This window comes from Homo sapiens, chromosome 3 (genome assembly GCF_000001405.40).
Source record: "Homo sapiens chromosome 3, GRCh38.p14 Primary Assembly".
NCBI lineage: Eukaryota > Metazoa > Chordata > Mammalia > Primates > Hominidae > Homo > Homo sapiens.
In genome coordinates, this window is record NC_000003.12 from 47,475,055 (window position 1) to 47,492,757 (window position 17,703).

The following is a 17,703-nucleotide window of genomic DNA, read 5'->3' on the forward strand; positions in this document are numbered from 1 at the left end:
CAGAAAGAGTTTATTCACCTAGCTCCGACTGTCGCCATACAAGGTGGAGCAGTGAGTGACCCGAACCAGGGGCTGACCCCTGCCAGAGCCCCCACAGCGACTCACTGCCCCCCCCTCCGCATTCCCATCTGCACAACTTTCTGTGATTCAAACAGTCCGGAGCCAGGGCTCCCTGCAACTAACGCTATCGTGACATTATAAGCCGGTTAAATACTGAGGTCATAAACCCACTCAGAAGTAAACAGAAGCAACATTAGTGAGCAAAGTTGAGGTTTAAGCAATACGGAAAACTAGAAACCAAGCAAAACCAGCAAAGCAACTAGCGTTGTCTCTCAATAAGATCTTCCAAAAGAGGCAAAGTGGAGAACCTGCTCTCCCCCGCACTCCGGAAAACCCAAACAGCACCAAAGCAGGTTCTACAACAGCTTCCCGGAGCAACTAGGCCAGGGGATGCGACGCCGCGCATCTCCCCCCGTCACACCAGGGGCCCGCGGAGGTCTGGTGGGGACGCGGAGCTCCAGGGGCCGGCCGGTGCAGGGACACGGCCGGGTTGGGGGTGGGGACGCGCGGCCCTGCCTCCTTGCCGGCCTGCGGTCTCCAGGGCCGGCCCGCACGGCTGCTGGACAGCGCCATGCCCACGCACCCCCGAACCTAGCGGCCCCCATTCCGGAACTCCCAGCTCCACGCGGCTGGGGTCGAGCTGGGGCCCGCGGGCAGGCGCCCTGAGCACCCGCGTGACGGTACCTGTGGTGGCAGCACCTCCCAAGCTGCGGCGGCGGCGGCGGCGGCGACGGGGGCGGCAGCAGGGGCGGAGCGCGGCGTGCGCGCTCTCGGCCCGCAGTCCGGTGCGTGGCGCCCTCCCTCTCTCTCCTGGCCGCCGGGTGCCCGCCCCTTCACCTCTCACCTCCTACCTTTACCCTCCCGCCCCGCCGCCCTCCGCACGTGCGCCCAGCGGCGTGCGCATGCGTAGTCGAACCACATTCGCGTCTCCCGTTCGCCCTCTGGTGGACACCGGAGGGAAGTATGGACGGCCGGGCCGGGCCGGGCCGGGCGGAGCGTGAAGCCGGGTTAGGGCCCGCCGGGTTTGGGCCCACCGGCTCTCATCGGTCATCAAGAACTTGCAGAAAGCCGGGCACGGTGGCTCGCGGTTGTAATCCCAACACTGTGGGAGTCCAAGGCGCGAAGATCGCTTGAGCCGAGGAGTTAGAGACCAACTTGGGCAACGTAGGAGACCTCCGTCTCCACAAGTAAAATTAATTAGCCGGCTGTGGTGGCGCGCACCTGTGGTCCCAGCTACTCAGGAGGCTGAGGTAGGAGGATCACCTGAGCCCGGGAGGTCGAGGCCACAGTGAGACAAAAAACAAAAAACCCACCCTGCACAAGATGCTCATGTTCCCTGTTTTATAATGGCAAAAAATTAGAAGCAGCTGGGCCGAGATACACTGCAAATGCAGATGAGAAGAATAAATAATGTCCATAAAACTAGTTTCCCTATAGACATTTAAAAGCATAAGTTGACATTTAACCATTTTCCACAGGGAACAGGTATTTGTTATAATAGCAACAGCTACGTTCACTGTTTACTAGGTGTCAGTTGCGGAGCTGGTATTGTACATGTCCTCGCATTTGGCCCTCCTGAAAATCCGAGGTAGGTCTTGTTACAGGGCCTCACAGAAGGGGAAGGGGAGGCTGCCTCCCCTCGAGGGAAACACAGGTCCCCACCTGCCCAGCTCTGGCCCAACTAGAGACGCTGCCCGGACCACTCTGGGGGGACTTTGATCATGCTACTGCATGCCCTTGCTGTACCCAGGTCTTGTGTCAGAGGTAAGCCTCCCCTCAGCCCCTGCCTACTGCCCGAGACACCCGCACCCACCCCAGGGCTACCTGGATAAGGCAGGCCCTGTACCTGCCCTCAAAGGCACCAGCAAACTTCTCTGGGAGTTCCAGAAAGTGCAGATCTAGTCACCAATGCAAGGCAGAAATTAGAGGTGGCCCTTCTGACCGCACCAGCCCCCGACCCACTACACATTCTTCAGATACCTCCTCCTAAAACCCAGTTCCCACCGGACTCTGGCCTCCCTCCTTGCCCACCACACTATTGTCACAATGAAAGTAACAATGGGGACAGTGGGCCTTGGCCCAAAGTGACTTTCAGGGTTATGACATTTTCAGCATTGTCTTTTGGCTTAATATGGGAATTTTGATCCTATAAAGAAAGTATTCGCTGGGCGCGGTGGCTCACGCCTGTAATCCCAGCACTTTGGGAGGCCAACACGGGCAGATCATGAGGTCAGGAGATCGAAACCATCCTGGCTAACACGGTGGAACCCCATCTCTACTAAAAATACAAAACAAACAAAAAAAAAATTAGCCGGGCGTGGTGGCAGGTGCCTGTAGTCCCAGCTACTCGGGAGGCTGAAGCAGGAGAATGGCATGAACCCGGGGGGCAGAGCTTGCAGTGAGCCGAGATCATGCCACTGCACTCCAGCTTGGGCGACAGAGCGAGACTCCGTCTCAAAAAAAAAAAGAAAAAAAAAAAGAAAGAAAGAATTTTTTAGGTTATTTTTATTTTTACATTTGAGGTCTCACTCCTTTACCCAGGCTGGAGTGCAGTGGTGTGGTCATAGCTCACTGCAGCCTCAACCTCCTGGGCTCAAGTGATCCTCCCAAGAAGGTAGGACTACAGATGAGCGCCACCATGCCATTTTTGTTTTTGTTATTTTTATCAAGATGGGGTCTTTTGCTGTGTTGCCCAGGCTGGTCTCAAACTCCTGGGCTCAAGCAGCCTTCCCATGTTGGCCTCCCAAACTGCTAGGATTACAGGCATGAGCCACCGTGCCCATCCTGTTTGTTGTATTAAATGAGAGAGAAGCAACAATAGAGAGCATTCAGGGGAACTTACCTACACCCCTTACCTATCCTGACATCACTCTCTCCAGGTCTGATCCCTTGAAATACCATCATTTGTCCCCTCAGAAACCTTGGGCATGAAGGAGTCCTCCTGAGCCCTGGGCCCACTGTACCAAAGTCTTCTCTCCAGAGAGGGTCAGGAGCCTGTCTTTTAACCACCTCCATGGCAGGACTTAGCCAGACTGCCTTGGGAACTGCTGTCATTCTCCTCACTCACCACCTCTTCCCACCCAACCACTCCATCAAAGCTGTGTTTGCAGAGGACTGACCCTCAGTGAAGTCTGGACACTCCCCCACAAAAAATAAGAGGCTCCAAAACTGACAAGCACCTAGCTAAGTACCTTTGTGCCTTGAAGCATGGCAAACAATCCTCCACTGCCCTAAGAGAACCCACTGAGAATCCTGTGGAGCCTCTGGGGAAGCTGGGGTTTATGGGGCCCTGGTAAATCTGCTACAGAATGCCCCCCATGGAATATAATGAAGTGGACATGATTTTTGGGCTTCTCCCACAACATTTTTTTTTTTTGAGACACAGTCTCATTCTGTTGTCCAGGCTGGAGTGCAGTGGTGAGGTGTTGGCTCACAGCAACCTCCCCCTCCCAGGTTCAAGTGATTCTCCCACCTCAGCCTCCTGAGTAGCTGGGATTATAGGTGTGCGCCACCATGCCTGGCTAATTTTTTTTTGCATTTTTAGTAGAGACAGAGTTTCGCCATGTTGGCCAGGCTGTCTCAAACTCCTGATCTCAGGTGGGATCCACCCGCCTCAGCCTCTCAAAGTGCTGGGATTACGGGCGTGAGCCACCTCACCTGGCCCTTTTTTTTTTTTTTTTGAGACCAAGTCTCTGTCACCCAGGCTGGAGCACAGTGGCACAATCTTGGCTCACTGCAACCTCCACCTCTCAGGTTCCAGCGATTCCCGTGCCTCAACCTCTTGAGTAGCTGGGACTACAGGCTTGCGCCATCGCGCCAGGTTTATTTTTGTATTTTTAGTAGAGACGAGGTTTTTGCCATGTTGCCCAGGCTGGTCTCGAACTCCTGGGCCCAATCGATCCACCCGCTGTAATCCCGGGATTACAGGTATGACCCACCATGCCCAGCCTCCTACAACATTTAATATGAAAACATAACAGAAAAGTTGAAAGAACCATAGAGTGAACACTCATATACCCTAGATTCAACTATTAATGTTTTGCTTAGTATCTCATGTCTATCTAAAAAAATCTATCCTTTTATTCATCTATCTGTAATTGCCCAAGGGTTCTTCTTGCCCACTGCGCAGACAAAATCAATTCACTGAGGCCTTGGCATTGCAGTAAAGAGTTTCACTGACGCAAGGCTGGCGATGCACAAGGCCACGCAGAAGATGGAGCTGTTACTCAAATCAGTCTCCCCAAAGGCTTAGAGGTCAGGGTTTTTCAAGGATAGTTTGGTAGGCAGGGTGCTAGGGAATGGGAAATGTTGATTGGTTGGGGATGCAATCATAGGAGGAGTCCTCAAGCGCTGAGTCAGCCTCTGGGTGGAGTCAGCAGAAATGCAAAAGTCTGAAAAGAAACACCTCAAGGCCGGGCGCGGTGGCTCACGCCTGTAATCCCAGCACTTTGGGAGGCTGAGGCAGGTGGATCACGAGATCAGGAGATCGAGACCTTCCTAGCTAACACGGTGAAACCCCGCCTCTACTAAATATACAAAAAATTAGCCGGGTGTGGTGGCGGGCACCTGTAGTCCCAGCTACTCTGGGGGCTGAGGCAGGAGAATAGCATGAACCCAGGAGGCGGAGCTTGCAGTGAGCCGAGATCATGCCGCTGCACTCTAGCCTGGGCAACAGAACGAGACTCTGTCTCAAAAAAAAAAAAAAAAAAAAAAGAAAGAAAGAAAGAAAGAAAGAAAAGAAACATCTCAAAAGGCAAGTCTTAGGTTCTACAATAGTGATGTTATCTATAGGAGTAACTGAGGAAGTTACAAATCTTGTGACTTCCAGAGCAATGACTGGTTATCATTTAACTACACCTACACCTTAGCAGAATTCAGGCCCCTCCTATAAAAATCCTAGACTTGTGGCTTTTCATTAGTTTTACAAAGGCGGTTTAGTTTTGGAGAGGGCTAATGTCATCCTTGCTTTAAGGTTGAACTATAAATTCCTCCCAAAGTTACCTTCGCCTATCCCCAGGTTGGAGGTTAGAAGCAAGATAGAGCTGGGCACGGTGGTTCACTCCTGTAATCCCAGCATTTTGGGAGGCCGAGGCAGGCAGATCACCTGAGCAGGAGTTCGAGACCAGCCTGACCAACATGGAGAAACCCTGTCTCTACTAAAAATACAAAATTAGCCAGGTGTGGTGGCGCATGCCTGTAATCCCAGCTACTCAGGAGACTGAGGCAGGAGAATAGCTTGAACCTGGGAGGCAGAAGTTGTGGTGAGCCGAGATCGTGCCATTGCACTCCAGCCTGGGCAACAAGAGCAACACGCTGAGAGAAAAAAAAGAAAAAGAAAAGGAAGCAACATGGAGTCAACCATGTCAGGTTTTTCTTACTGCCATAATTTTGCAAAGGTGATTTCGTATCAATCCTTTATTTTAAGAGATAGGGTATTGCTCTATGGTCCAGGCTGGAATGCGGTGGCACAATCACAGCTCACTGCAGCCTTGACCTCCTGGGCTCAAGCAAGCTTCCCAAGTAGCTGGGACCACAGGTGGGTATGACCACTCCCAGCTAAATTTCAGAGTTTTTTAAATAGAGATGAGGGTCTCTCTGTTGCCCAGGCTGGTCTTGAACTCTTGGCCTCAGGCAACTCTCCCATCTTGGCCTCCACAAGTGCTAGGATTATAGGTGTGAGCCACCATACCCAGCCCCTATCTTATTTTTGATGCACTTCCAGTTAAGTTGCAGAAACCTGATTTTAGTTTTTATATATAGTAAATCAAATGGAACAGTTCCATTTAGCCCTAACTAGGTAGAGCTCAACTTTACTTCAGATTGTTCCCCATAAGAAAGGTGAATTCAGGCCGGGCACGATGGCTCATGCCTGTAATCCCAGCACTTTGGGAGGCCAAGGCAGGCGGATCACGAGGTCAGGAGATTGAGACCATGCTGGCTAACATGGTGAAACCCCGTCTCTACTAAAGAAAATACAAAAAATTAGCCAGGCGTGGTGGCGGGCGCCTGTAGTCCCAGCTACTGGGGAGGCTGAGGCAGAAGAATGGCGTGAACCTGGGAGGCAGAGCTTGCAGTGAGCCAAGATTGCGCCACTGCACTCCAGCCTGGGAGAAAGAGCGAGACTCCGTCTCGAAAAAAAAAAAAAAAAGAAAGGTGAATTTGAATTCAGGCCAGGCATGGTGGCTCACGCCTGTAATCCCAGCACTTCGGGAGGCCAAGGCGGGCGGATCACTTAAGGTCAGGAGTTCGAGACCAGCCTCCCAACATGGTGAAACCCCATCTCTACTAAAAATACATAAATGAGCCAGGCATGGTGATGCATGCCTGTAATCCCAGCTACTTGGGAGGCTGAGGGATGAGAATCCCTTGAACCTGGGAGACGGAGGTTGCAATGATCTGAGATCACGACACTGCACTCCAGCCTGGGCAACAGAGTGAGACTCTGTTGTTGTAACCGAGTGAGTTATAGAGAAACACCACACTTTGAGATGAATTGAGGAGTCCTTTATTAGCCAGTGACCGAGAGACGGCTAGCACTCAAAATTCTCTCAGCCCCAAAGAAGGGTCTAGATTTTCTTTTATACTTTGGTTTGGCAAGGGGAAGGGAAATCGAGTTGAAGCAATCTCACAGAAGTAAAAACAGGCAAAAAAAGTTAAAAAGACAAATGGTTACAGGAAAACAGTTCCAGGTGCAGGGGCTTTAAATTCATCACAAGGTGATAGGTGCGTGGGCTCTGGGTGCTATCTACAGGACACAAATGCGGGGGCTTAGGATACTATCACCTGAGCGAATTTCTGGGAACTGTGGACAGAGCTTGCCACAGTACCTTATCAGTTAATTGCACTTTTTGATGTGCTGGGAGTCAGCTTGCACAAGTTAAGTCCTTGAGGAAGGGGGTGGGTAAGGAGCCCTTGATGTCTTGCAAATGAAGGAGCCAAATGGAGTCTGTCCGGCTTTCTCAGCTAAGGAAGAGTCTATTCATATTAAAACAAGGTAAGGTATCACACTGTCTCAAAAAAAAAAAAAAAAAAAAAAAAGAAAGGTAAATTCAAAAACTTTAAAAACTAAATGTGGCATGGAAATCAAGAAATGATAACAATTTCTAATACTTGAGCTTCTACCCTGGGCCAATTCTCAAACCTGATCTCAATTAATCCTCAGAACAATCTTGAAATATAGAGGCTAAGTTTATTTTACAAATGTAGAAAATTTCTCTGCAGAGAGGAGATGATGTGTCCAAGGTCACTCTGAGAACTGAACAGAGGGCCGCCTTCTGGGACCCAAGACTCCAGGTTCCAGCCCACTGCCCAGCTGCCTCACCCTGTCATGAGCACAATAAAGGAGTTTCATGATTATGTGGATGTGTCTTTGCAATCACTCACACTGAGGATCATGCTTATCATGAATTAGCCATTAGTGATAGCAGCTGGCAACATCTTAAAGTGGAAAGAGCTGCTTCAGGGCCAGACTCCTTTTATTCAAATCCTGGCTCTGACACAAGCAGTACCTCTGTGGCTGGGAGAATTAACTTCACCTCAGGGAACCTCGAATTAGGAGTCAGGTTCCAAGATGCAAACAACACCAACAGCTGTGGGTTTTGAAAACAATAAAATTGGAGGGTGAACACATGTAAAATGCCTACACTGAAATAAACGGTAGCTTTTTTTTTTTTTTTTGAGATGGAGTCTCGCTCTGTCGCCCAGGCTGAAGTGCAGTGGAGTAATCTCAGCTCACTGCAAGCTCCGCCTCCCGGGTTCACACCATTCTCCTGCCTCAGCCTCCCGAGTAGCTGGGACTACAGGCGCCCACCACCATGCCCAGCTAATTTTTTGTATTTTTAGTAGAGACGGGTTTTCACCATGTTAGCCAGGATGGTCTCGATCTCCTGACCTCGTGATCCGCCTGCCTTGGCCTCCCAAAGTGCTGGGATTACAGGCGTGAGCCACCGCGCCCAGCTTTTTTTTTTTTTTGAGATAGAGTCTCACTCTGTCGCCCAGGCTGGAGTGCAGTGGCGCGATCTCAGCTCATTGCAACCTCCACCTCCTGGATTCAAGTAAGTCTCCTGCCTCAGCCTCCTGAGTAGCTGGGACTGCAGGCACGCGCCACCACAGCCAGCTAATTTTTGTATTTTTAGTAGAGACAGGGTTTCACCATGTTGGCCAGGATGGATGGTCTCAATCTCTTGACCTCGTGATCCGCCCACCTTGGCTTTCCAAAATGCTGGGATTACAGGCATAAGCCACCGCACCTGGCCCCAATGGTAGCTTCAATAACCATGATACAATCATTTAAAAATATTTAAAATGTCAAAGTTGAATGAATACATTTATTCAATGTCTTTATTACCTATCAAATTCCTACCATGTGTCAGAGACCAGGAATACAATAAGTTAATTTCCTGTACTAAAGAAGTTAACTGTCTTAGTGTTGAACCTTTAAACAAAACCTTATAGGAAATATAAGGTTTATTACAGAGGTCATAATAGCCCATAATAATAACCAATTATTGATTGTTGGGTTCTTGCCAGAAGCAGGTTTTACAATATATTTATCTCAAATAATCCTTGTGATGACCTTTAGAGGCAGGTAAGATAAACCCCTTCTTTTTTATTTTTATTTTTTTGAGACGGAGTCTCGCTCTGCTGCCCAGGCTGGAGAGCAGTGGCAGGAACTCAGCTCACTGCAAGCTCCGCCTCCCAGGTTCAAGCGATCCTCCTGCTTCAGCCGCCCCCGGTAGCTGGGATTACAGGCACACGCCACCATGCCTGGTTAATTTTTGTTTTTTGTTTTCTCAGTAGAGACGGGGTTCCGCCATGTTGGCCAGGCTGGTCTCTAACTCCTGACCTCAGGTGATCCACCCGCCTCGGCCTCCCAAAGTGCTGGGACTATAGGCATGAGCCACCGCGCCTGGCCGATAAACCCCATTTTAAGTTGTAAAAACCATTGCATCCAGAGCTCTGACAACTTCTCTGAGGTTCCACAGTTGCTGTGTTGCAGAGGCATCATCACATGTTGATCCACCTATCCCCAAAGCCCCTGGACTTCTGCCACTGAGCTTCCAAATGCTATGAGGAAAAGGGAATTGGAAACCAAAGACCAGGAATCATGAAGAAGGTGCTGATGTGATTTTGGGTAGGGCCTTATAGGGTAAGAGCTTGTCAGGCAATAAGAACAACAGCAGTCAGCCAGGCGTGGTGGCTCATGCCTGTAATCCTAGCACTTTGTGAGGCCGAGGTGGGCAGATCACCTGAGGTCAGGAGTTCGAGACCAGCCTGGCCAACATGGAAACCCCATCTCTACTAAAAATACAAAAATTAGCTGGGCGTGGTGGTGCACGCCTGTGGTCTCAGCTACTCGGGAGGCTGAGGCAGGAGAATTGCTTGAACCCAGGAGGCAGAGGCTGCAGTGAGCCGAGATCATGCCACTGCACTCCAGCCTGGGTGACAGAGCAAGACTCAGTCTCAAAAAATAATAATAATAATTAATAAAAAGAACAGCAGCAGTGGCTAATCCTTAAACCAGTTACCAGGCCTACTTTATATGTCATTGCTTACTTATCCTAACAACCCCAATAAAACCCATGAAATGGGCACTCTTTTCTCCCCATTTTTTTTTTTTTTTTTTTTGAGACGGAGTCTCGCTCTGTCGCCCAGGCTGGAGTGCAGTGGCGTAATCTCGGCTCACTGCAAGCCCCGCCTCCCGGGTTCACGCCATTGTCCTGCCTCACCCTCCAGAGTAGCTGGGACTACAGACGCCCGCCACCATGCCGGGCTAATTTTTTGTATTTTTAGTAGAGACGGGTTTTCACCGTGTTAGCCAGGATGGTCTCGATCTTCTGATCTCGTGATCCGCCCGCCTTGGCCTCCCAGTGTTGGGATTACAGGTGTGAGCCACCACGGCCAGCTTGTCTCCCGATTTTATAACTAAAACAAACTGGGGCCTAGAAATGTCCAATCGCGGCCAGGCGAGGTGGATCACGCTTGTAATCCCAACACTTTGAGACGCCAAGGTGGTCAGATCATGAGGTCAGGAGATCGAGACCATCCTGGCTAACAAGGTGAAACCCCGTCTTTACTAAAAATACAAAAATTAGCCGGGTGTGGTGGCGGGCACCTGTAGTCCCAGCTACTCGGGAGGCTGAGGCAGGAGAATGGCGTGAACCCGGGAGGTGGAGCTTGCAGTGAGCCGAGATCGCACCACTGCACTCCAGCCTGGCCAACAGAGCTAGACTCCATCTCAAAAAAAAAAAAAGAAGAAAAGAAAAGAAACCCCTTCTCTACTGAGAATACCAAAAATTAGCTGGGCGTGGTGGCGGGTGCCTGTAGTCCCAGCTACTCAGGAGGCTGAGGCAGAAGAGTGGCGTGAACACAGGAGGCGGAGCTTGCAGTGAGCCGAGATCGCGCCACTGCACTCCAGCCTGGGCGACAGAGCGAGACTCTGTCTCAAAAAAAAAAAAAAAAAAAAAAGAAAGAAATAAGAAATGTCCAATCACTTGAGTAAGATCACTATAGTCAGTTATTTCGTTGTTGTCTTCTCTGTAAGCTGATCAATCATACACATGCACCCCTTGCCCAATGTCCAGTGGCTGTAGAGCCTCCTGGCTGGATGAGTGCACCTCCCCTCTCCATTGTCAGCCTTGGCCAATAAAGCGTGAGTGAACACGACCTACACCAAGTCTAGCAGAAGCTTTAAGAGCCACTGCTTGTGTGAATGTGCCTCTTGTTCTTCCCCTTAGCCAGGAGAACATAGTCCTGTGTTGGAACTGTTCCTTCAGACCAGGTGCCAGGATGAGAAGCCATGTGGAGCAGAACTGCAGCACATTACCCATGGTCCCCTATATGTAATGTGAGTGAGGAATGTGCTGTCCGTTTTAAGCCAACTGGGATTTGAGGGCTGTTTGTTACTACAGGAGAGCTGTAAGTGGTTACGAGTCAGGATCGTAACCTCAATAGATGTAAACACCATAAAATTCACCCATTGTCCAGTGTATATTTCAGTGACTTTCAGTAAATGTATGGTGAAACTATCATCACAATCTTCTTTTAGAACATTTTCATCACCCCCTTTCCATTCTCACTCCCAGCCTCAGGCAACTACCAATTTATCATCTATCTCTATAGATTTGCCTTTTCTGGACATTTCATATACATGGAATCATACTATATATATATAATATACACACACACACACTATATATATATATACACACTATATATACATATATACACATATATATATATACACATATATACATATATATATATATACACATATATACATATATATATATATACACACATATATACATATATATATATATATATTGCTCTATCGCCCAGGCTGGAGTGCAGTGGCACAATCTTGCCTCACTGTAAACCTCCGCCTCCTGGGTTCAAGCAATTTGTCCTGCCTTAGCCTCCCGGGTAGCTGGGATTACAGGAGCCCACCAACACACCCGGCTAAGTTTTGTATTTTTAGTAGAGATGAGAGTTTACCATGTTGGCCAGGCTGGTCTCGAACTCCTGACCTCAAGTGATATGCCTGCCTCAGCCTCCTGAAGTGCTGGGATTACAGGTGTGAGCCACTGCGCCTGGCCTATCTTTTGTATCTGGCTTAATGGTTTTTGGTCTCACTATGTTGCCCAGGGTGGAGTACAGTGGCTATTCACAAGACATGATCACAGCACATTACAGCATTGAACTCCTGGGCTCAAGTGATCCTCCTGCCTCAGTCTCCTGAGTAGCTGAGACTACCGGTATGTGCCCGACTAGCATACTGCTTTTGAGGTTCACCCATGTTGCAGAATGTATCAGTACTTTAATTCCTTTTTTTACTGCTAACATTCCACTGCACAGATAGACTACATGATGATTTTTATCATCAGTTGATGGACATTTGGATTTTTTCCACTTTTCAGCTATTATAATAAACACAGCTGTGAATATTCCCATGCAAGTTATTCCATGAAAGGGCCATATATGCGAAATGACCCCCAAATGCAGAAGGAGCTGAGAAACCAAAGAACAAGGCAGACAAATCCAGTTTATCAGCAGAGGGCAATTTATTAGGGAACTTATGGACACAAGCATGGTCTTGGTCAGCAACAAGTCAGGTAGATCTCCACACCATTATTCCCCAGACCCGGGACTTATATACCACAGGAAAAAGGGTATGTGCACTATAGAGACAATGAAAGGCAACCCTCTAGAACAGGCCAGAATGAGTTGCGTGATAACATCAAGGTTGCTTTGACCTAAAGGTAGGATATATTGTGAGTACATATTCTTACATTAAAGACAGTAAATAAACAAGGAATCAGGAGGCATTCACAGGACTGCGGTTAATCTGAGGTCAACATGGCAAATTAGCATCCAAGATGGAGTCACTTTTGTCACCACACAAGAGTTTGTGTAGAACTTTGTTTTCATTTCTTTTGGGTAGATAGCTATGAATTGAATGGGTTGAGTCATATAGTATTTATTTATTCATTTATTTATTTATTTATTTTGAGACAGGGTCTTCTCTGTCACATACTGGAAGTGCAGTGACGCGATGTCAGCTCACAGCAACTTCCACCTCCTGGGTTCAAGCAATTCTCGTGCCTTAGCCTCCTGAGTAGCTGGGATTACAGGCGTGTACCACCACGCCCAGCTAATTTTCTGTATTTTTAGTAGAGATGGGGTTTCACCATGCTGGCCAGGCTGGTCTCAAACTCCTGGGCTCAAGTGATTCACCTACCTCGGCCTCCCAGTGCTGGGATTACAGGCTTGAGTCACTGCACCCAGCCTAGGTTTAACATTTTAAGAAACTGCCAAACTATTTTCCAAAGTGACTGCCCCATTTTACATTCCCACTAGCAATGTATGATATGAGGGTTCCTATTTCCTCACATCCTTGTCAGCACTTGTTACTGTCAGTCTTTTTGATATAGCCATTTTAGTGGCTATGTAGTAGTATCTCATGGTGGTTTTTTTTTTTTGAGATGGTGTCTCGCTCTGTCACCCAGGCTGGAGTGCAGTGGCGCGATCTTGGCTCACTGCAACCTCCGCCTCCTGGGTTCAAGCGATTCTTCTGCCTCAGCCTCCCGAATAGCTGGGACTACAGGCTGGGACCACCAAGCCTGTCTAATTTTTGTATTTTTAGTAGAGATAGAGTTTCATCATATTGGCCAGGCTGGTATCGAACTCCTGATCTTGTGATCTGCCCGCCTCGGCCTCCCAAAGTGCTGGGATTACAGGCACACGCCACTGTGCCCAGCCCTCACTGTGGTTTTAATTTGTACTTCCCTAATAATGTTGAGCACTTATATACGCATGTTAGCCATTCCGATGTCTGCTTTGATGTCTATTCCAATATTCCGCCTTTTTTTTTTTTTTTAAAGAGACAGGGTCTCAGCCAAGCACGGTGACTCATGCCTGTAATCCCAACACTTTGGGAGGCCAAGGCAGGTGGATCATTTGAGGCCGGGAGTTCGAGACCAGCCTGGCCAACATGGTGAAATCCCATCTCTACTAAAAATACGAAAATTAGCTGGGCATGGTGGTGCATGCCTGTAGTCCCAGCTACGTGGCAGGCTGAGGCAGGAGACCTGCTTGAACCTGGGGGGCAGAGCTTGCAGTGAGCTGAGATTGTGCTGCACTTCAGCATGGGTGACAAAGCAAGACTGTCTCAAAAAAATAGGACAGCATCTCACTGCATCACCCAGGCTGGAGTGCAGTAGTGCAATAATTGCTCACTGACTGTTGCCTTAACTTCCTGGGTGCAAGCAATCCTCCCACTTTAGCCTCCTGAGTAGCTTGGACTATAGCCATGCACCACCACACCCAGGTATTTTTTTTTTTTTTTTGAGACGGAGTCTTGCTCTGTTGCCCAGGCTGGAGTGTAGTGGCGCAATATCAGCTCACTGCAAGCTCTGCCTCCTGGGTTCATGCCATTCTCCTGCCTCGGCCTCCTGAGTAGCTGGGACTACAGGCGCCCGCCACCGAGCCCGGCCAATTTTTTTTGTATTTTTTAGTAGAGATGGGGTTTCACCTTGTTAGCCAGGATGGTCTCGATCTCCTGACCTCGTGGTCTGCCTGCCTCGGCCTCCCAAAGTGTTGGGATTACAGGCGTGAGCCACTGCGCCTGGCCACACACAGGTATTTTTTTTTAAATTTTTTGTAGAGACATGATTTCACTATGTTGTCCATGCTGGTCTTGACCTCCTGGCCTCAAGGAATTCTCCTGCCTCGACCTCCCAAAGTGCTATGATTACAGGCATGAGCCACCATGCCCAGCTTGCTGCCCATTTTTTAACTGGATTATGTGTCTTCTTCTTCTTCTTTTTTTTGACATGGAGTCTCACTCTGTCACCTAGGCTGGAGTGCAATGGCGTGATCTCGGCTCACTGCAACCTCCACCTCCTGGGTTCAAGTGATTCTCCTGCCTCAGCCTCCCAAGTAGCTGGGATTATAGGTGCGCACCACCACACCCAGCTAATTTTTGTATTTTTAGTAGAGATGGGGTTTTACCATGTTGATCAGGCTGGTCTTGAACTCCTAACCTAGTGATCCACCCGTCTCAGCCTCCCAAAGTGCTGGGATTACAGAAATGAGCCACTGTGCCCGGCAAGTGTCTTCTTTCTTTTATTCTTTCTTCCCCCTGCCCTCCTCTTCCCCCCCTCCCCCCACCCCTTTCTTTCTTTCTTTCTGTTTTTGAGACAGAGTCTCGCTCTGTTGCCCAGGCTAGAGTGCAGTGGCAGTCTCGGCTCACAGCAACCTGCATCTCCTGGGTTCAAGCAATTCCCCTGCCTCAGCCTCCTGAGTAGCTGGGACTATAGGCGTGTGCCACCATGCCCTAACTTTTGTATTTTTAGTAGAGACGGGGTTTCACTATGTTGGCCAGGCTCGTCTCAAGCTTGTGACCTTGTGATCCACCCATCTTGGCCTCTCAAAGTGCTGGGATTATAGGCGTGAGCCACCACATCCAGCAAGTGTCTTCTTCTTATTCAGTTGTTAAGAGTTCCTTCCATATTCTGGATACAAGTCTCTTATTATAAATATGAACGCAAAATTTTTTTCAGGAAAACAAGTAGAATGAATAACTATTTCAGAAAAGGACTATTAAAACTGATATCACGAAGTGACCGGAAATAAAGACCAATAATAAAGAAAAAAATTTTAGATACTCTCCAAAAATGTTATTTTCTTGGCTGGGCGCGGTGGCTCACGCCTGTAATCCCAGCACTTTGGGAGGCCAAGGCGGGCGGATCACGAGGTCAGGAGATCGAGACCATCCTGGCTAACACAGTGAAACCCCGTCTCTACTAAAAATACAAAAAATTAGCCAGGCGTGGTGGCGGGCGCCTGTAGTCCCAGCTACTCGGGAGGCTGAGGCAGGAGAATGGCATGAACCCGGGAGGCAGAGCCTGCAGTGAGCCGAGATCGCACCACTGCACTCAAGCCTGGGTGACAGAGCGACACTGTCAGAAAGAAAAGAAAGAGAAGAGAAGAGAAGAGAAGAGAAGAGAAGAGAAGAGAAGAGAAGAGAAGAGAAAAGAAAGGTGGGGGGAGGGGAGAGAAAAAGAAAAGTTACTTTCTTTTTTTTTTTTTTTTTGAGTGGCTGAGATGACAGGCATGCACTACCACACCTAGATAATTCGTGTATTTTTAGTAGAGACAGGGTTTTGCCATGTTGATGAGGCTGGTCTTGAACTCCTGGCCTCACGTGATCCACCTGTCTTACCCTCCCAAAGTGCTGGGATTACAGTCATGAGCCACTGCACCTGGCCTACAAATTTTAAATGAGTTGAAATGTTATCCATATTTTAAAAATTATTTTACACTAGAAAGCACAGAATAGCAACTTCATTCCAGTGAGAAAGAAAAACATATTTTTGAGTCCTGAAGAATTAAGACACCATCAGAGATGAAACAGGAACATTACAAGGTCTTGTTCAAATAGCACTGCCCCCATAAATTCTTCCCCAATTTTCTGTGCCCGCAACAAAAAAGAAAAAAAAAATTAGGGGGAAATAATTGTTCTTTCCTATGAACATCAGCCTCATGTTAGTAGAATATTTTTATGGCCCATATCACACCTTATGATCCTGTTTTTCTACCCCTGTATTAGTCCATTCCCACACTGCTATAAAGAAATACCTGAGGCTGGGTAATTTATAAAGAAAAGAGGTTGAATTTGCTCACAGTTCTGCAGGCTGTATAGGAAGCATGGCAGCATCTGCTTCTGGGGAGGCCTCAAGGGAGCTTTCACTCGTGGTGGAAGGCAAAGCAGGAGCAGGTGTCGTATATGGCAGGAGCAGGACCAAGATGGGGTCTGGGGTGGCGGTGGGTAAGTGCTACACACTTTTAAACAAAAGATCTCATGAGAACTCAGGACAGTACCAAGAGGGAAATCCACCCCTGTGATCCAATCAGCTCTCAGCAGGCCCCATCTCCAACAGTGGGAATTAATTTCCACATGAGATTTGGGCAGGGACACAGACCCAAACTATATCAACCTCTCATTAGGCTACAGCAGTCTTTAGGATTGTTTTGGTTTTTGGTTTCAGGGTTTTTGTTTGTTTGTTTGTTTGTTTTTTTGAGATGGAGTCTAGCTCTGTCGCCCAGGCTGGAGTGCAGTGGTGTGATCTCGGCTCACTGCAAGCTCCACCTCAGCATCCCGAGTAGCTGGGACTACAGGCGCCTGCAAGCACTCCTGGCTAATTTTTTGTATTTTTAGTAGAGACGAGGTTTCATCATGTTAGCCAGAATGGTCTTGATCTCCTGACCTCGTGATTTGCCTGCCTCGGCCCCCCGAAGTGCTGGGATTACAGGCGTAAGCCACCACGCCCGGCCGGTTTTGGGTTTTTTTTGAGACAGTTTCGCTCTGCCATTCAGCTTCGAGTGCAGTGGCTTGATCATAGCTCACTGCAGGCTTGAACTCCTGAGCTCAAACAGTCCTCCCACCATAGCCTTCCGAGTGGCTGGGACCACACCACCATGCCCAGCTTTTTGTTGTTGTTGTTCAAGACAGGGTCTTGCTATTTTGCCCAGGCTGGCCTCCAAACTCCTGGCCTCAAGCAATCCTCCCACCTCAGCATCCCAAAGCGCTGAGGTTACAGGTATGAGCTACCATGCCCAGCCTTTAGGATTGTTTTTATCTTTATAACCCTTTTTATAAAACAGATCTTCTGGCTGGGCACGGTGGCTCACACCTGTAATCCCAGCACTTTGGGAGGCCGAGGCAGGCGAATCACGAGGTCAGCAGATCAAGACCATCCTGGCTAACATGGTGAAACCCCGTCTCTACTAAAAATACAAAAACTTAGCTGGGCGTGGTGGCAGGCACCTGTAGTCCCAGCTACTCGGGAGGCTGAAGTAGAAGAATCGCTTGAACCCGGGAGGTGGAGGTTGCAGTGAGCCAAGATTGCGCCACTGCACTCCAGCCTGGGCAACAGGGCAAGACTCTGTCTCAAAATAAATAAATAAATAAAAATAAAATCCTGGACTCAAGTGATCTGCCTGCCTCAGCCTCCCAAAGTGCTGGGATTACAGGCATGAGCCACCATGCCCGACCAACACCAGGTTTTAATTGATAAGTAAGCAAGGATAAGGAACAGATTCTGTACACACGGAAAAATACAGAGAAAATTATATGCTAGT

General features: G+C 48.6%; 1 protein-coding gene and 1 long non-coding RNA gene across 7 annotated transcripts in view, besides 3 other annotated features; one reads left to right on the forward strand and one right to left on the reverse strand.

Moving 5' to 3' along the window:
- Positions 1 to 2,073, reverse strand: part of SCAP (SREBF chaperone) — a 63,447-nt gene extending 61,374 nt beyond the window's left edge. For 3 of the 6 annotated variants that reach the window (NM_001320044.2, XM_005264967.3, NM_012235.4), the window contains exon 1: positions 745 to 887. The gene's annotated coding sequence lies outside the window, so the exon portion shown is untranslated. Of the gene's footprint in view, positions 1 to 368; positions 888 to 1,884 lie in introns of those variants that run through there. The other 3 variants (XM_047447740.1, XM_017005918.2, XM_011533501.2) reach the window with 2 other exon arrangements.
- Positions 435 to 974: a silencer, noted in NCBI's record as "silent region_14309". NCBI's record gives its function as "represses an Ori minimal core promoter by ATAC-STARR-seq in GM12878 lymphoblastoid cells {active_cell/tissue: GM12878}" and the evidence as "EXISTENCE:reporter gene assay evidence [ECO:0000049][PMID:35858748]".
- LOC105377073 (uncharacterized) lies at positions 891 to 7,416 on the forward strand. The gene is made up of 3 exons (XR_940821.3): positions 891 to 1,310; positions 1,588 to 1,648; positions 7,282 to 7,416. It is a non-coding gene; the product is annotated as an uncharacterized LOC105377073 (long non-coding RNA).
- Positions 13,159 to 13,660: an enhancer, noted in NCBI's record as "H3K27ac hESC enhancer chr3:47529703-47530204 (GRCh37/hg19 assembly coordinates)". NCBI's record gives its function as "activates a minimal SCP1, AML or CMV promoter by ChIP-STARR-seq in naive and primed H9 embryonic stem cells {active_cell/tissue: H9 hESC(naive and primed)}" and the evidence as "EXISTENCE:reporter gene assay evidence [ECO:0000049][PMID:30033119]".
- Positions 13,661 to 14,160: an enhancer, noted in NCBI's record as "H3K27ac hESC enhancer chr3:47530205-47530704 (GRCh37/hg19 assembly coordinates)". NCBI's record gives its function as "activates a minimal SCP1, AML or CMV promoter by ChIP-STARR-seq in primed H9 embryonic stem cells {active_cell/tissue: H9 hESC(primed)}" and the evidence as "EXISTENCE:reporter gene assay evidence [ECO:0000049][PMID:30033119]".